Here is a 24,541-nt window from a genome sequence, read left to right on the forward strand (position 1 = left end):
GTGCCCATGTTCTTCTTGGCTACGCTCACTTTCTTGTTGTCCCATCAGGAAAACCAGAAAGCCCAAGAAGAAAACCAGGAAGCCCAGCAAGAAAAGCCGGTGGAATGTCCTGAAATGTTGGGACATTTTTAATATATTTTAGAGACCTCTGAAGGTAAGTGAAGGATGCCCTGAGAACATGCTCCAGGAAACAGACACCCACTCCATAGCAGCCCGAGCCTGCTGGGCTGAGCCCTCCACAGGCTGCTTAGTGAGGGAGACACTGAGGTGCTGGTCGCACCCCCATGTGCAGGACTCCAAGGGCTTTGCACTGTGTTGTCTGCAGTAACTCTTCAGCTCACCAACATCTCATTTGGGGGGACCTAGCTCTGTCCTCCCAGCCCCTTGAGGACAACAGGGAGCATCACTAGTTCATCCTGAGGAGACACTAGGGTTGACATGAATCCCCCTGGTTCAGGCCTCCTGGGAAAGGTGTGAGAGGGATGGAGGCACCCCCAGGCTCCTTGTCACACAAGCGAGCAGCCCACCCGACCCAGTATTGCGGGCCAGCAGGCCCTCAGTAGGTCCTGGTGTCAAGCAGGGGACACGGCAGGATCCAAGAAGCACTGAAATGTGTCCAGTCCCAGGAGTCCTTCAGCCTCTGGGGGGTCTGGGGGCCTCCAGTTCCAGGGGTCCTTCAGCCTCTGTGGGGGCCTGGGGTGACCTCATGGCCCCATTTTTCAAGATGAGGTTGGAGGCTTCTGTATGTAGAGGGCACTGGCTTGGGCCAAATGCCAACAAAACAAACCCCTGAAGACATTTCAGGGCCATGCTCACTTGGGAGGGTTTGAGGACATGATTTAGCGAGCCTCTGTTTTTTAAATATATTTTCCAATCTTGAAATAAGGTACACATATGAATGTGTGTGTGTGTGTGTGTACATATACACTGTTTTTCACTCTTTCAAATGTATGTCTTCTGTAACCCTTTTATGCTAGAATATACAAACATGAGAAATTTGTGTCTTACCAAAGCATAATTTTAAAAATTACAAAGCAAAGACAGGTCCGGTGGGGGTGCTAGAAAGACCAGGTCTTATTAGGCAATAACAATGACGTGCTCCAGGAAGCTATGCATGTTCAACGTGCAGCTCTTCTCCAGGAAGCTATGCATGTTCAACGTGCAGCTCTTCTCCAGGAAGCTATGCATGTTCAACGTGCAGCTCTTCTCCAGGAAGCTATGCATATTCAACGTGCAGCTCTTCCGTCTGGATGGCACAGAGGATCTGGGTGGCAAGGCAGGGTCACCACCCCCACCCTGTGTCATGAGACCTCCTGCTCCTCTTAGGGCCCAGGGGCATGGGACTCTGCCTGTTGATCCTGGTATGCTTGAAATTCCGTTTGTGTGTGTCTGTTTTACCCTCCGGGGAACCAGCCCCCTGAAGGTGCCCGTGTGAGCGCCCAGGTTCATTCTTCCTCCATGACACTCACACTCTCTGTGGACAGATAACCCCTCAGCAGAGAGCAGCACACAGGGCTCAGTGCCTTGACATCTGAGTAGACCTGATTGTGGGGAGCTCAGGGGCCCCAGGTCACCTTCCAGGGCCCAAGGAGGTCTCTGAGACCTGCACACCCATCCCAGGGAGCCCCTCCTCCCTCCACCTCTGTGCCTCTCTAGTGACCCTTGCACCTCTGTCTGTGTTGCAGATTCCTCGACCACCAGGAAGGGCCCCGACGTGGGGATGTCAACATGGCTCAGACTTGATGTGGATCGTGATCATTTCGGGAAATGTGTTACTCCAAAAACTTTTATAATCTTTGCTTAATTTGTTTTTAAATACTTTCCTGGCTGGGCGTGGTGGCTTATGCCTGTAATCCCAGCACTTTGGGAGGCCGAGGCGGGTGGATCACCTGAGGTCAGGAGTTCAAGACCAGCCTGGCCAACAAGGTGAAACCCCGTCTCTACTAAAAATACAAAAATTAGCTAGGCGTGGTGGCGCACTCTTGTAGTCCCAGCTATTTGGGAGGCTGAGGCAGGAGAATCACTTGAACTCAGGAGGCGGAGGTTGCGGTGAGCCGAGATCATGCCACTGCACCCCAGCACCTGGCTACAGAGTGAGACTTTGTCTCAAAAAAAAAAAAAGAACAAAAAAATTCTGACTTTAACCTCTGTTTTTCAGAGGGCACAAATTGTTCTTGTATTGTTTCCATTTTACATTTTTTTCTTGAAGTTATTTTCCAATTGTTTTCATTCTTTCTGAAGTTTTGTTTACTCAGTTTTAAGTTTTTGTAATTTTGATAGACTTTTGTGCTTTCATTTTCTTAATGACTTTTACCTCATTTTTAAAACAAATCCATAGTATGGTAAGTTACATCAATATGGAGTATTTTTATGTTTTGTGGTGATTTACATTCTGTATGTATTTTACATATATAAATGTTAATGGCCTGGTGCAGTGGCTACCACCTGTAATCTCAGCAGTTTGGGAGACCAAAGCAGGACGATTGCTTGATCCCAGGAGTTTAAGACCAGCCTGGGCAACATAGTGAGACCTCATCCCTACAAAAAAAAAAAATCCTTTAATTAGCTGGGCATGGTAGCATCCATCTGTAGCCCCAGCTACTTGGGAGGCTGAGGCAGGAGGACTGGTTGAGCCTAGGAGGTTGAGCCTCCAGTAAGCCATGACTGCACCACTGCACTCCAGCCTGGGTGACAGAGCAAGACCCTGTCTTAAAAAAGAAAAGTTTATTAACGTGAATATCAGTTAGAAATCTAGTTGTTCATTGCAAAACTAAACCAGATTATAGCAGAAATAAGCACTTGGAGGGAAATGTTACATTTTCACTGCAGGCCTTGAATCCTTAGCCACCAGCTCCGTGTCCTTCAGTGTTCTGTGGTTCCTGGTTCCAGAGAGATCACCTGCTCCAATGTAACGAGTGAAGAGTTCTTTAGGTGATGGCTGCTGGGCCCAGCTTTGCTGTTGTCTTTGCTGTCTTGTAAGCTTTGTGTCGCTCAAGTTCAGTTGTGTATGAGTGTACTAACCACTGTGAGCTTCTCCAAGCATGTGCAAGCAATTTGAGAGGAGCCTAATATTTGCAAGGAATTTGAGAGGAGCCTTTTAAGGATGTTTTATTGGCGGGGGTCAGGTGAGGGAGATAACACGGGGGCAAGAAGGAAAGTTATTAATTCATGGGAAACTACCAGCCCTTCATCACCTAACTTGTGATTTACAGACACTGAGCACATTGCAGGTTGAGAAGGTGCTTGGTCCTTTTTGTAGCCTTATGCTGTGCTCTTCAGAGACGTGAGTGTGCTGCTTTTTCTCACCATTTTGTTTCTTGTAGATTGTTTTCCTTGATGCTGGAAAACATTTTGAAGACAAGACTCTAAACAGTGACCTATGCCACACTAGTTTATTGGAAAATGAGAAACTTACATTACTGACAAGCTTGGAAGATTCTTCAGTCCTGCAGTGACCTGTGTTTCCCTGGTCTTTACCTTACCAATCTGCTTGATTCTCCTTTCTTGTGGCAGTAGTTATGATGCCAACTTTTGGGGTTCTTTGTCCTCCTCTTTTCTTCCTACCTGCCAGCATTCAAATGGCCACTTCTATTAAGTGATGGAATTCAAGAATGTATTTATTTATTAATCCTGATATTGTTTCACTCATCCCTCAGCTTAACATTTAGGGTACAAAGTAGTCACCTAGAGGTGCCACTCAATATACAGCACTGTGTTTAGAAATTGAGGGAGCCGTGAAATATTTAGCCTCTGCTCTCTGAGACCTCAGCCAGGTGCAAAGAAGAGATGCAGAACCACATTTCAGATTGTGTTGTGTACAACCAGCAGCACCAAAATGTGCCTGGGAATCATGGGGGTCAGAAATTTACCTCTGAGGCAGGTATGGCTGAAGCTTTACGAAAAGAGATGGGGCCCGTGCCAGGCCTTAGACGTGCGAGAAGGAGGGCGTGTCAGGAAGCAGAAACAGTATCAGCAAAGGCGCTGCTGGGAGGCATGTGGGCAGTGTTTGGGGAACGGCCAGGGGCTTTCTGTGTCAGGTTTACAGCATCTGTGGGAGGCTGCGTTGGTAAATAACCCCAGAGAAGTAGGCTGGGGCTACTTACATTAAAAGTATGCATGGCTTTGAAGGCCAGCTGAGTGGTATAAATAGAAACTACAAATAGTATCACATTTATTGAGGACAGCTTGTGCTGCCAAAAGAGTTTTTAAAATTTTTTTGGATTGTGTAATTGGTGGATAAAGAATTATTGACCTAAATGTATCTGATCTTAGAGTGTTTTAGTATGCTAGATTATTGGAGGTGAAATGGCTAAGTCAAAGGTGATGAGTGTTTTTGAGACTCTTAATGTTAATTGCAAAATTAACCTCTAAAAAGGTAGGCCGGGCGCACTGGCTCACGCCTGTAATCCCAGCACTTTGGGAGGCCGAGGCGGGCGGATCACGAGGTCAGGAGATTGAGACCATCCTGGCTAACACGGTGAAACCCCGTCTCTACTAAAAATACAAAAAGTTAGCCCGATGTGGTGGCAGGTGCCTGTGGTCCCAGCTACTCAGGAGGCTGAGGCAGGAGAATGGTGTGAACCCAGGAGGTGGAGCTTGCAGTGAGCCGAGATCACGCCACTGCACTCCAGCCTAGGTGACAGAGTGAGACTCCACCTCGAAAAAAAAATAAATAAATAAAAGCCAGTGCCAGCTTAGACCATGACTGAGAGCTCTTGGTTTATCTTATCCTTGCTGAGCTGGGTGTTACAACATTGAAGCCTTCTGCAGTGTCCTCCCTCCCTTTTTCTCTCTTTCTCTCTCTCTCCTCCCTTTCTTCCTTTTACTTCTCTTATGATAGGCTCGTCTGTACTTTTTTGATAGAGGTAACCATTTGCCACACCATTTTCTGAAGGGCCTGCTCTCTTCCCCATTCATTTGTGATGGCACATTTATCCTACCCTAAGCTTTGATAACGTGTCAGGATCTTTCTGTCCTGTCCTCTCAAAGAGGTTAAATATTTTTTTATAATGACTTATAATTGACTGAAGTTATAACAGTTTTCTCATGTCAAGTATAAAAACAGGCCAGGCGAGGTGGCTCACACCTGTAATCCCAGCACTTTGGTAGGCCAAGGTGGGTGGAATGCTTGAGTCCAGGAGTTTAAGACCAGCCTGGACAACATGGGACAACCCCATTTCTACAAAAAAAAATACAAAAATTATCCAGGCGAGGTGGTGCACGTGTGTAGTCCCAGTTACTCGGGAGGCTGAGGTGGGAGGATGGCTTGAATCTGGGAGGTGAAGATTGCAGTGAGCTGAGATCACACCACTGCATTCAGTCTGGATAATAGAACAAGACTCTATCTCAAAAAAAAAATTGTATACTTTATTGACTCATTTATGTCTGATGGGTATTTTTGATTACAAATTGTTTAGTCACTACTTTAAGGCCTGCTTTATTTTTTTCTTAATTTTATTGACTCATTTATGTCTTAGTCTTTTTTATTACAAATTATTTATTGTTCAGTCACTACCTTAGAGCCTGTTTTATTTTTTCTTAATTTTATTAAAGGATGATATTGATGATGAAATGTCTTACGATGATCATTTAGAGGTTTATTTTGAACAACTGGCAATTCCACGAATGATGGAATAAAACATATGAAGTAGAAGGACTGGAACCTCCAGAAAAAGTACTTTAAGTTACCTACAGGTGATCCTAGTCAGGTATGTTACAGTCTTAATGGCTTTTCAGAAATTTGACAGAAAATCACTGTTGATCTCACTGGATGTTTACATGAATTTTAAGCCTTTGGTTTTCTTTTAACTCTGTTTTTTACAGGTATGAATTGATAAGAAATGCCTGCACCTTCCCTCCTTCCTATCTTTCCCTTGCCTACAGAAAATTAAAAGGCAAAACAATGGACATCTACATATTCTTCATTCAGATCAACCAGTGGCTAGCATTTGCCACCTTTTGCAGTTTCTTTCTCTTTCCATAAGTACTTTCTTCTCTGAATCATTTGAAAGTAAGTTGAAAAGAGCATGATGTTTTACCCCAACACTTCAGCGTTTATCTCTTGTGAATAATGACATATTTCTATGTAATTACAGTTCTACCATCTAACTATAATACAGTAATTTGATGTACAGCCCATATTCAGATTTACCTAATTGTCTCCAAAATGTTCTTTATTTTTGTTTTAGATCCACAGTTTAATCAAAGATTAACCTTGCCTTTGGTTGTCACGTCTCTCTATTCTTTTACTTTGGAGTAGTTCTTTCAATACATGAAACATTTTGAAAAATCTAGGCTCTTTGTTTTGTAGAGTGACCCATAATCTAGATATATCTGGTTGCTTTTTTCTTCTCCTGACTAGAATAGATTGAGCATTTTGGCAAGAATACAGATTAAACAGTGTTCTCATGAGTGGATCCAGATTAAACAGGGAATAATGCCTAATTCAGATTAGGCAGTGTTGCGTACTTACCGCCTCACACCAGGAGATGTTTGCGTCTGTTTGTCCCACGATTGCTGATGCTATGTTTAATAATTTTGGTTGAGGTAGTGTCAACTGGACATCTCCTTGTGAGGGTAGCTTTTCCCTTTTGTTATTAGTCATCTGTGGGATGAGACATCAAAGCACTGTGAACATCTTATTCCCCGGCAACCTTCACGAGCTGGTTTCAGCGTCATTGCTGAAGCCTCTTGGAAACATTGATTACACCCGTGGTTCCAATGGTGATTTTTCTCATTCCTTTTACATTGATTACCTGCCTCCTTGAGTAAGGTAGATGTTGTCTACTCCCCATGTTTTCCCTTCAAAATGTTTAATTTTAATTTAAATGATTAATACAGCTAAGTTATTCTTTCAACAGGCAAATGAAAACAGTAGCCTAAAGTGTCAGTTTCAACCAGAAAATAACAGCTCTGATTTCTCATGGCTCACACTCTTCTGAAACGACTCGGGTAGAGGCTGAGGAAGGCCGTGTTGTTTGTCTACCTGGGACTAGTAAGTATAGAAATAGAATTCCTTTGTTCTTAAATTCTACCTTTGACTTTACTTTTAAAATATAATTTCTTTGGTACGATTTAGCTCATGCCTGTAATCCTAGCATTTTGGGAGGCCAAAGAGGGAGAATTGCTTGAGCCCAGGAGTTTGAGACCAGCCTAGACATCATAGGGAGACTCTGCGCACGCACACACACACACACACGCGCACGCTAACCGGGAATGGTGGCATGCGACTGTGGCCCCAGCTACCTGGGAGGCTGAGGTTGGAGGATCATTTGGACCCAGGAGGTGAAGACTGCAGTGAACCATGATTGCACCACTGCACTCCAGCCTGGGTGACAGAGCAAGACCCTGTTTCACAAAAGAAAAAGAAGAAGAGATCATCTATTAGTGTTCTTGATTTTTGTTAAAATGTGATACGTGATAGTTGATAAGCTTTAGGCATATGTCAATCTGTGGCCATTTAATTTTGGGCTAAGGACTTGTTCTATTATAGCACAGTAATCATTTTACTAAATAGTGACTATTTGTCATGAAAAACAGTATATTTAGTTTTAATACAGTTGAGTACTCACAAATTTCTGGGGGAACTTCGTCAGGACATTTCAACTGAGAATTGTCAGGCACCTTCTCACTGATAGGCATGCTGCTCGGTGGTGCAGCTCATAAGCAGACAACCCCCTTCATGTAATTTAGTAGGAAAATGACAGAAATACTTGTGTAACTATAAAGTAAAGCAGAATTCTGGTTATTGAATCACAGCACCTACTGAAAGAAGTTCTCAAGTTCTGACTGAGTTCTAAAATTTTTTGAAGATTAGAATTCTTCATATGTAAGTAAAAACAATTTCTGATGACCCATTTCTAGTCCATCTTCTAAAGAAGTATTTAATCTGGGCCACGCATGGCGGCTCACGCCTGTCATCCCAGCACTTTGGGAGGCCGAGGCAGGTGGATCACGAGGTCAGGAGATCAAGACCATCCTGGCTAACACGGTGAAACCCTGTTTCTATTAAAAATACAAAAAAGGCCGAGCGTGGTGGCTCACACCTGTAATCCCAGCACTTTGGGAGGCTGAGGTGGGCAGATCACGAGGTCAGGAGATCGAGACCACGGTGAAACCCCGTCTCTACTAAAAATACAAAAAATTAGCCAGGCATGGTTGTGGGCTCCTGTAGTCCCAGGTACTCGGGAGGCTGAGGCAGGAGAATGGCGTGAACCCGGGAGGTGGAGCTTGCAGTGAGCTGAGATCGCACCACTGCACTCCAGCCTGGGTGACAGAGTGAGACTCTGTCTCAAAAAAAAAAAAAAAAAAAATAGGTCTCACTGCACCTTTGCAGTAATTATATGAAGGGGTAGCCTGCCCATCCATACCTGTGGGTATATCTTGTCAGGTGGGATGAGAGACTGAGAAAAGAAATAAGACACGGAGACAAAGTACAGAGAAAGAACAGCGGGCCCAGGAGACCGGCACTCAGCATACGGAGGACCAGCACTGGCACCGGCCTCTGAGTTCCCTCAGTTTATTGATTACCATTTTCAGTGTCTCAGCAAGAGGAATGCGGTAGGAGAGCAGGGTGTCAGCAAGAAAACCTGTGAGCCTTTCCTTTCGCTGCTGCGGCCGCAGCCATGAGCATGCTCGGGCCTCAGAAGAGGCTCGCCTCTAGTGTCCTCCGCTGTGGCAAGAAGAAGGTCTGGTTAGACCCCAGTGAGACCAATGAAATCGCCAATGCCAACTCCCGTCAGCAGATCCGGAAGCTCATCAAAGACGGGCTGATCATCCGCAAGCCTGTGACGGTCCATTCCCGGGCTCGATGCCGGAAAAACACCTTGGCCCGCCGGAAGGGCAGGCACGTGGCCATAGGTGAGCAGAAGGGTACAGCCAATGCCCGAATGCCAGAGAAGGTCACATGGATGAGGAGAATGACGATTTTGCGCCGGCTGCTCAGAAGATACCGTGAATCTAAGAAGATCGATCGCCACACGTATCACAGCCTGTACCTGAAGGTGAAGGGGAATGTGTTCAAAGACAAGCGGATTCTCATGGAACACATCCACAAGCTGAAGGCAGACAAGGCCCGCAAGAAGCTCCTGGCTGACCAGGCTGAGGCCCGCAGGTCTAAGACCAAGGAAGCAGGCAAGTGCCCTGAAGAGCGCCTCCAGGCCAAGAAGGAGGAGTTCATCAAGACTTTATCCAAGGAGGAAGAGACCAAGAAATAAAAGCTCCCCCTTTGTCTGTACATACTGGCCTCTGTGATTACATAGATCAGCCATGAAAATAAAACAAGCCTTAAAAAAAAAAAACATGTGAGCAAAGGAATCTGTGTCACAAATAAGTTCAAGGGACGGTACTATGCCTGGATGTGCACGTAGGCCAGATTTATGTTCCTCTCCACCCAAACATCTCAGTGGAGTAAAGAATAATAAAGCAGCATTGCTGCCAACATGTCTCACCTCCCGCCACAGGGCGGTTTTTCTCCTATCTCAAAACTGAACAAATGTACAATCAGGTTTTATACCGAGACATTCAGTTCCCAGGGGCAGGCAGGAGACAGTGGCCTTCCTCTATCTCAACTGCAAGAGGCTTTCCTCTTTTACTAATCCTCCTCAGCACAGACCCTCCACAGATGTCGGGCTGGGGGACGGTCAGGTCTTTCCCATCCCATGAGGCCATATTTCAGATTTTCACATAGGGAGAAACCTTGGACAATACCCGGCTTCCCAGGGCAGAGTTCCCTGTGGCTTTCCGCAGTGCATTGTGCCCCTGGTTTATTGAGACTGGAGAATGGCGATAACTCTTACCAAGCATACTGCTTGGAAACATGTTGTTAACAAGGCACATCCTGCATAGCCCTAGATCCCTTTAACCTTGATTCCATACAACACATGTTTCTGTGAGCTCAAGGTTGAGGCAAAGTTACAGATTAGCAGCATCACAGGGCAAAGCAATTGTTCAGGGTACGGGTTAACATGGAGTTTCTTATGTCTTCCCTTTCTACATAGACACAGTAACAGTCTGATCTCTCTTTCTTTTCCCTACAATTATAGTCCATTGTGTACATGAAAACAAGGCCTTCTGAAAACATGTATTATTGGTCAGAGGCAGCAGCAGTGAGAAGCCAGTGTGTCGTATTGTCCAACACACACTTCCCACACAGCCCTGCCATGCTCACTCATGACTTTCTGACAAACTGCTTTGTTGCTAGGAAGCCCTTAATTTTCCTCTGTGCTCTCCAAGAGAAAGAGGGCCTCCCCATGAGTTAACAGCTGGAGGAAAATGAAAAAGTAAGCTTTTCCTTAGCATTGGAAAACCTTTTTTTTTTAACTTTTATTTTAGGTTCAGGGGTGCGTGTACAGGTTTATCATACAGGTAAACTTGTGTCATGGGGGTTCATTATACAGATTATTTCATCACCCAGGTACTGAGCCCAGCCCCCAATAGTTATTTCTTCTGCTCCTCTCCCTCCTCCCACCCTCCACCCTAAAGTAGGCTCCAGTGTCTGTTGTTCCTTTCTTTGTGTCCACGTGTTCTCGTCATTTAGCTCCCACTTATATGTGAGAATGTGCAGTATTTGCTTTTCTGTTCCTGAGTTAGTTCACTTAGGATAGTGGTCTCCAGGTCTGTCCATGTTTCTGAATAAGATGTGATCTCCTTCTTTTTTATGGCCGCATAGTATTCCACGGAGCATATGAACTACGTTTTCTTGATCCGGTCAGTTATTATGGGCATTTAGGTTGATTCCCTGCTGCTGCAGAAGCCAGCCTTCTGTGTATCACCGCATGGTCCCGTGACACAGGAAAATGCATGTCTCTGGGATAGGATGACTGTTTCTCATCCCACATGGTAAGGAGTTTCCAAAGTTCGCGAGCGTTTATTCAGCACCTGCTGTGAGCTATGCCGATGGTGCCACGGGACAGGTGGTGGGGGACACAGCCTGCAGTAACAGAGAACACCCTTCCCTCAAGAGCCTGCGTTCTCCTTGGGGGAGACAGACAATGAGCCAAGTCCTGGAGCTGCCTGCATGGGGAGTGAGCGAGGAGGAATTGCAGTGAGGGGCAGGCAGCGGGGGAGAGCTTCACGCCCACCGCCCCGCTGGGTCCACACTGTTGTGCTGCCCTCCCTTGGAGGGTCGAATTAGGGCCATGTCAACTTCCTGGGTAGTTCAGATCTAGTTGGGATTCTGGCTTGACAAGACCTTTTCCTGTTTCTCAAGGGGCCCTGGATTGTTCAACTGGGAAGGGAAGCTGTAAGAATCGCCTAGTCCAGGTGATTCAAAGTGTACCTTTGGAGTCTCTTTTGGGGCCATGAAGCGGGGCTGGGGGAAGCCAGGGGTTCTGGGGATTCTACCTTAACTCACCTGTTAACTGGTGAAAGACACCTTCTGACCAAAGATCACAAGATGAAAACCTGGAAAAGCCTCAAGAGAGTCTACATTACCTGGAAGGACTCTGAGGCCTAGAGAGAAAGAACTTGCATAACTGATGCCAGCTGACTTGCCCTCCAGGGCTCTCAGCCCGCTGCCGTGAGCTTTGTCTTGTGGCTTTTGTATCTCCAATGTCAAGTGGCCCAGGGAAAACAGGCACCTGCTCTGTGGATGAGAGGTGTGGCCTGGTGATGTTGCCAGAGAGGGCATATCTGTTTCCTGGGGGTGGAATAAAATGAATTCTCCCAGGTCTTACACCTGCTATAAGATGCTTCTGGTCAATGGGTATTTGGAATACTGCCACGTTAGTTAGCGGGGAGGCATCTGGGATCTTTGATTCTGTGCCACAAAGCAGTTCCCTTTACTATGTCAGAACCCCCCTTACCTTTTGAGCTCACCCGGCCCTGCCACCTGGTATTCCATAACCTTCTCTCAAAGGCAACAGAAAGACCACAAGATACTGTAGACAATCCATTGGTGTGATTAAATATTTTGGAGATCTCTTGGCATTTGCTTCCTGGCAACTGTGGGGTAACGTTCTCTACACCAAATGTCTCAAACTCAACTGTCTACAAGAGCCAAGTAAGTGCCCTAATGAATGAAGTCGGCCAGGCAGGAACTGAGAATTACAGAAGGGAGGCGTCCACCATCACCCTTGCTTGGAATGCAGCCCTCCAAGACCTGGTCTTCCTTTTTTTTTTTTTTTTTGAGATGGAATCTTGCCCTGTCGCCCAGACTGGAGTGCAGTGGCGTGATCTTGGCTCACTGCAACCTCCACCACCCGGGTTCAAGCAATTCTCCTGCCTCAGCCTCCCGAGTAGCTGGGATTATGGGTGCATGCCACCACTCCCAGCTAACTTTGTATCTTTAGTAGAGACAGGGTTTCATCATGTTGGCCAGGCTGGTCTTTAACTCCTGACCTCATGATCCGCCTGCCTTGGCCTCCCAAAGTGTTGGGATTAAAGGTGTGAACCACCACGCCTGGCCAGGAGAACATCTTGAACCTGAGAGGCAGAGGTTGCAGCGAGCCAAGATCGCGCCACTACACTCCAGCCTGGGCAGCAGAGCAAGACTCTGTCTCTAAATAACTAAATAAATAAACATATCAAAGAAGCAATCAAAAGTAGGAATAAGAAGAGACTATCAAATATGAGAAGCAACCAGGTAGATTTCCTTCATCCTCCTATTGGACTGCCAGCTGGGGCTTCCACTTTAGAATGTTAACCAAAATATGCATGGACCTGTTGAACCTGCTTTTTTTTTTTTTCTTTGGGACGGAGTCTTGCTCTGTTGCCCAGGCTGGAGTGCAATGGTGTGACCTTGGCTCACTGCAACCTCCGCCTCCCAGGTTCAAGCGATTCTCCTGCCTAAGGCTCCCAAGTAGCTGGGATTACAGGCGCCCGCCACCAGGCCCGGCTAATTTTTGTATTTTCAGTAGAGACAGGGTTTCACCATGTTGGCCAGCCTGGTCTTGAACTCCTGACCTTAGAACCTGCTTTATTTTTATCATTCTATTTGGATTTCCTTTTGAACGCTTCCTTAACTCCCTTACCATTTGCTAAAATTGGGTAGGTGCTTTATGGTGATGTCCCAACATAATTTTAAGTCTCTTATTGCTTGAACCCGGGACACGGAGGTTGCAGTGAGCCAAGATCATGCCACTACAGCCTGGATGACAGAGTAAAACTCCATCTCAAAAAAAAAAAAGAAGGTCTCTTAAAAGGATAAAGGACATGCTACCTGGTAGAAGTAAACTTAGAAATACTGTCCTCTAAATGCTCGTGTTGTTTAGAGAATTAAAATATTTGGCTTAGCAGCTTGGGTTTCTAAAATGACTTCTCAAAATATTGCATTTACTAAATCTTCTTTCCTGTCCACTCATTGACTTAATTTCTGTCCTTATATGCTGTGTCTAGGACATTTAGATATAGGAGGTAAATTCTAGCACATTTTGGGAACACTGTGAATAGAGGAGCTGATAAACACATGGAGTGAAACGGGCCAAGAATTGCTGTGAATATTAAAGATAAATAAAGGCCAGTAACAGGAAAAAGAAAGGGACACACAATTCATTGATCAGATTCATAGTTATAAAAAAATGCTCTCGCTTAAAGATTATCCCATTTCTGGGAAAATGGTTATTGCTGTCTCTCTGCTCTATTTTCTACATTATCATAGCGTAAAATGAATTTTTAGGGGATGTTTACAGTTCAATGCATCTTAACAAGTGTATAGATTCATGCAACCACCACCACAAACAGGACACAGCACAGTTCCATCACCCCAAAATCTCCCTCATGCTGCCCTCCACAGTCACCCCCCACCCACCCCCACCTCCTAGCAACCACTGATCTGTTCTCCATCACTACAGTTTTGTCTTTTCAAGAATGTCATATAAATGGAATCACACAGAGTTTATAACATTTTGATATTTGGCATCTTTCTCTCTTTCTTTTTTTTTTTTTTTTTTTGACAGAGTTTTCACTATTGTTGCCCAGGCTGGAGTGCAATGGCGTGATCTCAGTTCACAGCAACATCCGCCTCCCTGGTTCAAGTGATTCTGCTGCCTCAGACTCCCGAGTAGCTGGGATTACAGGCATGTGCCACCATGCCCAGCTAATTTTGTATTTTTAGTAGAGACAGGGTTTCTCCATATTGGTCAGGCTGGTCTCAAACTCCCGACCTCAGATGATCTGCCTGCCTTGGCCTCCCAAAGTGCTGGGATTATAGGAATGAACCACTGCACCCAGACTATCTTCCTTATCTTTCAGGGCAATGCCTGATGTCATACACAAGCCAGCTCCTTCAGCTCCTTCTTACTGTCTAGATTGCCATCCGTCTTTAGCGTGATTACAGAGCATGTCTGATTGCAGTGGCAAGCATTAGGACTCACTCAGAGCCTTGTGGCTTTTCTCTTTTTTTTTTTGAGACAGAGTCTCGCTCTGTCAGCCAAGCTGGAGTGCAGTGGCGCAATCTCGGCTCACTGCAACCTCCATCTCCTGGGCTCAAGTGATTCTCCTGCCTCAGCCTCCCAAGTAGCTGGGATTACAGGCGTGTGCCACCACACCCGGCTAATTTTTGTATTTTTAGTAGAGACAGGGACTCACCATGTTGGCCAGGCTGGTCTCGAACTCCTGACCTCAGGTAATCCGCCCGCCTCGGCCTCCCAAAGTGCTGGGATTACAGACATGAGCCACCGTGCCCGGCCACCTTGTGGCTTTTCTTCTCCATGTTGAGAAGCCGTGTACCGGCCTTGACAGTGAGACTGGTGGTGGCCTGGGGAAGAGTTGGCATGTGGATAATGTGTGGTTCAGTCTGAAGCTCCTCAGCTAATGTCCCAGCTGCCTCAAGTGGTGATCAGGACAGCCTAAACTTTTAATATTTATTTATTTATTATTATTATCATTTGAGACAGGGTCTTGTTCTGTCGGCCAGGCTGGAGTGCAGTGGCACAATCGCAGCTCACTGCAACCTCTGCCTCCTAGGTTCAAGCGATTCTCCCACTTCAGCCTCCCAAGTAGCTGGGATTACAGGTGTCTGCCACCACCACACCCGGCTAATTTTTGCATTTTTGGTAGAGATGGAGTTTTGCCATGTTGGCCAGGCTGGTCTCAAACTCCTGACCTCAGGTGATTTACCCACCTTGGCCTCCCAAAGTGCTGGGATTACAGGTGTGAGCCACCGCGCCTGGCCTAAATATTTATTTATAACACTTGTTTGAATTCTTTTTGTACTTAACGCTGGCTCCATTGTGTGCAACACTGCCATCTGCCGTTAGGATTTGTGTCTGAGAACCTGGGCCCACAGTCTCGCTGCGGATGCAGAACTGGCAGAAAAGCCTACTGCACTTCCCCTGTGTGGTTAAACGACGGTGAACAAGTCCAAGGCGGAAAGAATAACCAAGTATATGCCTTAAGATCCTTTCTTGGAGGTCCCCAGGTGAAATACTAATCAGATCCTTCAGCATTTCCTCCTGTCCAAAAGGATCCTGCTGTATTCCTGTTTCTTTGTCATGAACCGATCACGGCTTTTCAATGATGCATTATCTCATTTCGACAAAATATCTGAGAGCTGGCTGGGGCACGGTGGCTCATGCCTGTAATGCCATCTCTTTGGGAGGCCGTAGAGGGAGGATTGCTGGAGACCCAGAGTTCAAGACCAGCCTGGGCAACAAAAGTGAGACCCCGTCTCTACAAAAAATATAAAAATTAGGAGGTCAAGGCAGGTGGATCACTTGAAGTCAAGAATTCAAGTTCAGCCTGGCCTACATGGAGAAACCCTGTCTCTACTAAAAATACAAAAATTAGCTGGGCATGGTGGTGCACGCCTGTAATTCCAGCTACTCGGGAGGCCGAGGCATGAGAATCACTTGAACCTGGGAGGTGGAGGTTGCAGTGAGCCATGGTTATGCCACTGCACTCCAACCTGGGTGACAGAGGCCCTGTTAAGAAAGAAGAAACAAGAAAGAGAGAGAGAGAGAGAGAGAGAAAGGAAGGAAAGAGAAGGAGAGAGATAAAGAAAAGAAGGAACAGAAGTCGAAGGAAGGAAGACACAGATAAGAGCAGCAAAATAAGAGAAGAAAAAGAAGCAGTAGAGAATCAAAAGAGCCAAAAATGGTTTCTTTGAAAAGACTAATAAAATCGACACATTTGTTAGCAACACTAATCAAAGGAGGAAGAAAGAGAACGCAATGTAAAGCTAAGATGAAAAGGGAGTACATTTCTGATTTGAACATGGCGAATTAAAGACAGGATTTCCCTCTTTTCTTTATAGGAAACAATCATAACAAGAATAAGAAGCAAGCCGGGTGCGGTGGCTCATGCCTGTAATTCCAGCACTTTGGGAGGCCGAGCTGGGAGGATCACTTGAGCCCAGGAGTTTGAGACCAACCTGGGTAACATAATGAGACCTTACAAAAAAAAATAAAATTAAATTTCAAAAACATAATTAGATACCAGTGTATCCCCAGCAGATTGACACAAATTAAAAGTCAACAGTATCCTGTGTTGGTGAAGACATACAGCAACTGGAAGTCTCCTGTGCATGTTAGCCATGTTTATACCTTTCATCTCAGCAGTTTCACTCTTAACGATATATGCTAGAGAAACTCTTACTCATGTGCTCCACAGACAGGTAGGAGGGCCCAAGGTAACCTTGTTTGTAATTAAGAAAAAATAAAAACAGGAAACAAGCCAAGTGTCCAATGGGATAATGGATTAGTAAATTGTGATACACAATGAAACTGCATATGTGCGCACATCAACATGAACGAACCCTCCAAACATAATGTTGAGGAAAAAACAAGCAAATCACAGAATACAAAAAATATATAATACCTTTGTATAAAGTTCAAAAACAAGCAAAACTAACCAATATATTCTTCAACAATATGTGCATGCATACGTAAATGTGGTAAACATGAAGAAAAGCAAGGAAGCGATAAAAGCTGAGAGCAGATTACTAGGGGGATAAGGAGGGAGAGGATGCATTTGGGAGGGGCTCACAGTGGCTTCAAAGATATACTTAGCATTCTATTTCTTCTTCTTCTTTTTTTTTTTTTTTTTTTTTTTTTTTTACCAGAGAAGGTGTTGCTCCATTGCCCAGGTTGCGATCATAGCTCATTGCAGCCTTGACCTCCTGGGCTCAAGCAATCCTCCCACCTCAGCCTCCTGAGTAGCTGGGACCACAGGCATGCACCAACATACCCAGCTAATTTTTTTTTTTTTTTTGAGACGGGGTCTTGCTCAGTCGCCCAGGCTGGAATGCAGTGGCATGATCTCAGCTCACTGCAACCTCCGCCTCCCGGGTTCACGCCGTTCTCCTGCCTCAGCCTCCCGAGTAGCTAGGACTACAGACGCCCGCCACCACACCCGGCTAATTTTTTTTTTTTGTATTTTTAGTAGAGACGGGGTTTCACCATGTTAGCCAGGGTGGTCTCAATCTCCTAACCTCGTGATCCGCCCACCTCAGCCTCCCAAAGTGCTGGGATTACAGGCGTGAGCCACCACGCCCGGCTTAATTTTTAAATTTTTTGTAGAGACAGGATCTCACTATGTTGCCCAGGCTGGTCTCATATCTGTGGGCTCGAGCGATTCTCCTGCCTGGCCTCCCAAAGTGCTGGGATTCCAGGAGTGAGCCACTGTGCCCGGCCAGCATTCTATTTCTTAAGCAGCCTATTGGGTGCATAAGGGCTCATTTCATTATTTTGCACACCTTATATATGCACGTATAAATATATATGCTTCTTACATATGGAAAATAAAATCTCATGAGAAAAAAATCTAATCTAAACCAAAAGAGGACTGTGTGTATCTGCAGCAGTTATGAAAAATAAAAATGCTTTCTCGTTGATGCTCCAGGAGAGCTGGGGAGCACACGAGTTGTCAGTGCCTGTCGTCTGCACATCATCATACGTAGCCCCCTTTGGATCTCAGAAGTTCCCCAGATGGGACCCACCAGCAAGAGGGCCCTGTGTTGTTGGAGGTGGCAGCTACCTCTGTGGCTTGTCCCAGGGTCACCAGAAATTCTGGAGAGAAATAGATGTGGTCCGTGAGATGAAATAAGTGAAACCTTCACTTCTGCTTATTTGGAAAGCCTCCCTCAGACTTAGTTTCTTCGTCTGAAAAATGGGCGTAATTACTACCTGATGGGGTTATTGTGAGAATCACATGAGCCAATCTATGCTCAGGGTGCAAAGCATGGAACTCCTCTTGCCTTCTGAAATTATGTGAGAAGATCTCCAGCACCACTCCTTCATCCCGAGACTCTCCCAGCCTTGCACAGTCCAGAGAAGGTCACTGCAGATTAAAATAGACCTAAAAGACACATCTACCAAATGCAGCGTGTGGACTTTAGGTGGATTCTGACTGAAACCCACCAATCCCGCTTGATCCGTGGTTCCACTTTCCACCATTGCAGTTGTCTGTGGTACAATTCAATAAGATAGTCTTAGGGAGATAGACCACATTCACATAACTTTTATTACAGTGCATTATCAATTATTGTTGTTAAACTCTTACTGTGCCTCATTTATAATTACACTTTATTATAGGTGTGTATGTATAGGAAAAAATATAGTATACAAGGGCTCGGCATTATCTGTGGTTTCACGGCATCCACAGGATCTCGGAACATACACCCCGCAGATAAGGGGGTACAGCTATATAAAAATGTATTCTTGAGAAAATCAGGAAAAGGCAAATAAGGATTGGGCATTAAAAGATGCCAAAGTGGCTGGGCGCACTGGCTCAAGCCTGTAATCCCAGCACTTTGGGAGGCCTAGGCAGGTGGATCACCTGAGGTCAGGAGTTTGAAACCAGCCAGGCCAACATGGTGAAATCCCATCTCTACTAAAAATGCAAAAATTAGCCGGGCATGGTTGCGAGTGCCTGTAATCCTAGTTACTAGGGAGGCTGAGGCAGGAGAATCACTTGAGCCCAGGAGACGGAGGTTGCAGTGAGCCGAGATCATGCCACTGCACTCCAGCTTGGCCAACAGAGCGAGACTCTGTCTCAAAAAAAAAAGATGCCAAAGATGCCAAAGTGTGATAGTGCAATTGGGTTTTTAAAAAATTCTTATCCTCCTGGTGACATGCGCCTGTAGTCCCAGCTGAGGTGGAAAGACTGCTTGAGGCCAGGAGTTCAAGACCAGCCTGGGCAACATAGCAAGACCATATATACACACAAAAAATTAGCCAGGCATGCTGGTGTGTGCCTGTAGTCTTAGCTACTTGGGAGGCTGAATCAGGGAGATCACTTGAGCCCAGGAGTTTGAGGCTGCAGTGAGCCAAGCTCACACTACCGCACTCCAGCCTGGGCAACAGAGTGAGACCTCATCTCTTAAGAAGAAAATTTTAGCCTTTAGAGATACAGCCTAAAGTATTTATGGGTAAAATACTATAATGTCTGAGGTTTGCTTTTAAATAATCTGATCGTGTGAGTGGATGTGAGTGCATAAAGATGAAAAAAGAGGCCAGGCGCAGTGACTCATATCTGTAATGCCAGCACTTTGGGAGGCTAAAGCGGGCAGATTGCTTGAACCCAGAAGTTCGAGACCAGCCTGAGCAACATAGTGAGACCTCGTCTCTACAACTAAAAAAAGAACTTAAAAAAAAGAAAAAAGGTGAAACAGGCCGGGTGCGGTGGCTCATGCCTGTAATCCCAGCACTTTGGGAGGCCAAGGTGGGTGTATCGCTTGAGGTCAGGAGTTCGAGACCAGCCTGGTCAACATGGTGAAACCCCATCTCTACTAAAAATGCAAAAATTAGCCAGGCGTGGTGGCGGGTGCCTGTAATCCCCGCTACTCCAGAGGCTGAGGCACGAGAATCGCTTGAACCAGGTAGGCGGAGGTTGCAGTGAACTGAGATCATGCCACTGCACTCCAGCCTGGGTGACAGAGTGAGACTCCATCTCAAAAAAAAAAAAAAAAAAAGGTGAAACAAGTGGTCCTGAGATGCTCACTGTAGGTAACTGATAGCTGCCTGATAGGTACAAGAGAGTTTATTGCTCTCTTCGTTCTTCTTTGATGTATGTGTGAAATGCTTTGTGGAAGGAGGGAAGGAGGATGGGAGAGAAGCAGGGAGGAAGGAAAGCACTCTGAACATTTCCTGTTGTGTAGGTAAGAACTCCAGCGCATCTCAGACCACCAGAGCTCGGGCCACCAAGCTCTGCTACTAAGGGCTGCCCTCCTGCTTGCAGTGACACCACTAGCAGCGTAAGCTTCCAGAAGAGGATGGTTCCACACACAGTGCCAGCTTCACCAGTCCTTCTGGGCACAAACACACCCAAGGGATTCCTGCTTCGAGAATGCAGGGTCTGAGTGGGCTCCAGCATCTCTCCCTGTAGATTCCATGGCCCTTGTCCTCTCCAGGCCCAGGAAATCCAGCACAAGACGTACAGCCACCTTCCTTTTTCAACCTCCTGAAATACCAGAGCAGCTCCCCTTCAAATCATCCCACCCCTTCAGAAGGGGCTCAGATCTGGGAGGAAAAGGGCTCCCAGTGTGGGGCACTGTCACCCTCCACAGGCCACAGAGGACCCTCCTGGGATGGGGAAAGAGATGGGTGGGCTGGGTGGGGAGACTGTTTTCTGGTCACACCTGTTGCTCCCCATTCTACCTCCCCCCACTTGAATACAGACAAGGAGACCTCTTGCTAGAAAAGTGACATCATGGCAGGGCATGGTGGGTCACACCTGTAATCCCAGCACTTTGGGAGGCCAAGGCGGGCAGATCACTTGAGGTCAGGAGTTCAAGACCAGCCTAGCCAACATGGCGAAACCCCATCTCCACTAAAAATACAAAAATTAGACTGGCGTGGTGGCGTGCACCTGTAATCCCAGCTAGTCAGGAGGCTGAGGCACAAGAATCGCTTGAACCCGGGAGGCGGAGGTTGCAGTGAGCTGAGATTGTGCCACTGCACTCCAGCTTGGCTGACAGAGCGAGACTCTGTTTCAAAAAAAAAAAAAAGTGACTGTAAAAGTTACATGCCCATAAATCTCCATGCTACAAGCCAGGGAAACAGCAAGAGGCCATGTGCAGATGGGAGTGGCCCCTTCCCACTCCCAAGATCAAGAGCTCCTTATGCATCCACCAGCTTGTAATCACTTGCTTCTTCTCACAGACGTTCCTGAGAGGAGACTTCCCACCAGCCTGACATATTGTCGGGGAGAAAGTCACTTCCCAACCTTGCTTTAGGCCAGTGTTTACTGAGAGACAGGCATGTGCCTCAGAAGGGAGAAAACTTCCTCCCAAAACATGTTAGTATATAAGTATCTTCCAGCCAATTTCTTTCCTTTGAAAAAACCTTACTGGCCAAAATTTTTCAAAATAAAAAAATTGGGGAGAGGAAGATTCTAAGACAGTGGAGTAGCAAGTTCCAGAAATCTGTCTCTTCACCTAGACAACAATTGCGCCGGCAGAATCTGTCTGATGTGACTATTTTGGCACTCTGGAGTCTATTGACGGCTTCCAACTGTGGCTAATTTGGGTCAATTTCAGCTCTCAGCAGGCAGCAGCCACCCATCTCCCATCCCATGCCCCTGGCAGGCAGCTGTGCACATGTTCCTGGAGCAGCTTGCAGACAGCTGGTGGGTGGGAGCCGGGTGAACAAAAAGGACCCTGTCCTCCAAATACGGGAGGTCTGTGCTCTGCTCACTGATTGCTGCTTCTGATCACTGAGGTGCAAAGAGGTGGTGGTTATTGTGGTTGCACCTGCCCCCAATGTTACAAGCCCTTCCCCCTCTGACTGAAGTGACTTCCAGAGGATTTAAGGACTGTGGGCCTGCCCCCACCTGGTTCACATTTCTCTTTCTCCCCTCTTGGGAGGCAGACATTGAAGACCAGAACATTCTAAAGCAACTGCATATATTGGGGAAATTAGAGAGTCACCATGTGTGCCCCAGGGAAGACGCACGTTCAGAGAAGACTTGAGAAAACCTTAAGTTTATAGCTCTGGCTGATCATTGGCACAGAGACAGACTACAAAGATTAATTTAAAAAAAAAAAAAGTCTGGCCGGGTGTGGTGGCTCACACCCATAATCCCAGCACTTTAGGAGGCCAAGATGGGTCGATCACCTGAGATCAGGAGTTTGAGACCAGCCTAGCCAATATGGTGAAACCCTGTCTTCTACTAAAAGTACAAAACTTGGCTGTGCATGGTGGTTCACGCCTGTAATCCCAGCACTTTGGGAGGCTGAGGCTGGTGGATCGCCTGAGGCCAGGAGTTCAAGACCAGCCTGGCTAATGTGGCGAAACCCCATCTCTACTAAAATTTAAAAAATTAGCTGGGCATGGTAGCACGTGCCTGTAATCCCAGCTACTTGGGAAGCTGAGACAGGAAAATTGCTTGAACCCAGGAGGCAGAGGTTGCAGTGAGCTGAGATCATGCCACTGCACTCTAGCCTGAGCGACAGAGGAAGACTCCATCTCCAAAAAAAAAAAAAAAATTATCCAGGCATGGTGGTGAACACCTATAGTCCCAGCTACTCTGAGAGATGAGGCACAAGAATTGCTTGAACCTGGGAGGTGGAGGTTACAGTGAGCCAAGATCCAGCCACTGAACTCCAGCCTGGGTAACAGAGTGAGACTCTGTCTCCAAAAAAACAAAGAAAGAAAACAGATTGAAGAGGCCAGGCACAGTGGCTCATGCCTGTAATCCCAACACTTTGGGAGGCTGAGGCGGGTGGATCACTTGAGGTCAGGAGTTCAAGACCAGCCTGGCCAACATGGTGGAACCCAGTCTCTACTAAAAACACACAATTATCCAGGTGTGGTGGTGTGTGCCTGTAGTCCCAGTTACTCGGGAGGCTGAGGCAGGAGATGGAGGTTGCAGTGAGCTGAGATCGTGCCACTACACTCCAGCCTGTGTGACAGAGGCAGACTCCCTCTCAAAAAAAAAAAAAATTGAAGAAAACTGAACAGAGTCTATAGGATCTGCGAGACACCATCAAGCAGACCAACATACACATCGTGGGGGCCCCAGAAGTGCATACGTGTCTGTAAGTAGTGTTTTCCCAGCATGACTTGGAGGAAACCCTGCCTTTCTGGCTTAGGCTCGGCCACAGCCATCTATGTGAGACCAACCCAGAAACACTGGCGCCTTGGGGAGACAGTGAGCCTGGTGGAGGGACACTCTGGTTGGGAACTGGACAGCCCCAGTTCTGCAAATAACTGCATGTGCTTGTGAGACCGACTCACCCCACCAATCCTCTCTTCCTCATCTGTGAAAGAGGCGGAACACCAGCACCCCCCTCTGGCAGTGTGAAGGTTTCAGTAGGGGACACATCGTGGAGGATGGCTGGGATTTGCTCACACCACTGCTTAGATGAGCAGAAAAGATGTGTCCAAGTGAATCTTCTTCCCAAGGCATGGGTGCTTGTGGGGGTGGGGGGTGCCAAGACTTCAACTTAGCATCTCAGTCTCTTCTGAGTTTCTTTTAAAGTCCAACTTTGAACCTAGAGATGTGTAAACAGAATCTTGTGAAAGACGATGTCTTTCAGATGAATGTTCTATCATTTGGATGGAAATGATATTGAATCCCCCTCCTTGTGCAAATGAGCCCTGTGTATGTATGTGTATGTGTATGTGTATGTGTATGTATGTGTATGTGTATGTGTATGTGTATGTGTATGTGTATGTATGTATGCGTGTGGGGGTGGGGGGTACTTAGGTGACATGTGCAAGGACAGAAGGCCCAGGGATGCCCTGAGGTTCATGCCATCCTCCACAGTGGAGGGTCTGGTTTGGTCTGGCCTTGGACAAGTGACTGCCATGGGGTGACCGGTCCCATTTGGTCTGTGGGCCACTGCTGCAGTCTCTGGTTCCAGCCATTTGCCTGTGATCATGGAGGCCACACATCTTGGAGCCCATGTGTCCTCACCCCAGGCCTCCACTGGCCCCTCAGCACTCCATGTCTTCCCATGGGGCCTGTAGGAACTTCTGCAGGCCTCAGCCAGGCCATGGGCTGCTGGGAGCCCTGCCTCGGGCTCATCTCTCTGCTGCTTCCTTCTGCCCTACCTACTGTCATTCCTGCACCCTGCTGTGAAAGGCTTCTCCACATGCACCTGCAGACCCTGGGGGCCCTGGGGTTCCCTGAATCCATCTGGATCTATCAGGCATTCCCCCATTGTAGTTTCAACTTGCAAATGAAGCCAACAGTACATGCACCCTGGCCCTCGCTGCTCTCTTTGCCCCTCTTCTTCTTCCCTCATTTTGTGGGCAGGAGAAAGGGGCCTCCTGGACCACATCCCCCTCTTCCCAGGAGACTTGGTGGGATTTCTCTACACCATGGAAAAAAGCTTTATGATTTGGTCCAGTGGTCTTTAAACGTTGTGCTCACTGGTAGCTCACGGAGGCTGCTCATCACCAATTCCCCCTCACCTTGCAGTGCCATGGGAGAGGATTACTCCCTGCCCTCTTGTGCTTGGGTGGGCCACGTAGCAGGAGCAAGAGCAAAACCTGCCTCACAACTCAGAGCCACCACCAACCTGCTATAGAAGGGAAGTGTGACCAAGAAATAGATCTCTGTTTCTACACCCACTAAGACTTCGAGATTGTTTGTAATTGCAGCATATCCTGGATGATCCTGACTGATGTAGCTCCTGAAAGAAGTTGTTAAAAAACTA

General features: G+C 46.7%; 2 pseudogenes across 2 annotated transcripts in view, besides 1 other annotated feature; both read left to right on the top strand.

Moving 5' to 3' along the window:
• Positions 1 to 16,609, top strand: part of FAM153CP (family with sequence similarity 153 member C, pseudogene) — a 55,897-nt pseudogene extending 39,288 nt beyond the window's left edge. The window contains exons 11-16 of one of the 2 annotated variants that reach the window (NR_149722.1): positions 49 to 154; positions 1,686 to 2,342; positions 5,554 to 5,708; positions 5,824 to 6,010; positions 6,861 to 6,994; positions 16,193 to 16,609. The product of NR_149722.1 is annotated as a family with sequence similarity 153 member C, pseudogene, transcript variant 2 (transcript). Of the gene's footprint in view, positions 1 to 48; positions 677 to 1,685; positions 2,343 to 5,553; positions 5,709 to 5,823; positions 6,011 to 6,860; positions 6,995 to 16,192 lie in introns of those variants that run through there. The other variant, NR_159407.1, reaches the window with a different exon arrangement.
• RPL19P9 (ribosomal protein L19 pseudogene 9) lies at positions 8,593 to 9,289 on the top strand (annotated as a pseudogene).
• Positions 21,561 to 21,640: a silencer, noted in NCBI's record as "silent region_16707". NCBI's record gives its function as "represses an Ori minimal core promoter by ATAC-STARR-seq in GM12878 lymphoblastoid cells {active_cell/tissue: GM12878}" and the evidence as "EXISTENCE:reporter gene assay evidence [ECO:0000049][PMID:35858748]".

Source organism: Homo sapiens, chromosome 5, assembly GCF_000001405.40.
Source record: "Homo sapiens chromosome 5, GRCh38.p14 Primary Assembly".
NCBI lineage: Eukaryota > Metazoa > Chordata > Mammalia > Primates > Hominidae > Homo > Homo sapiens.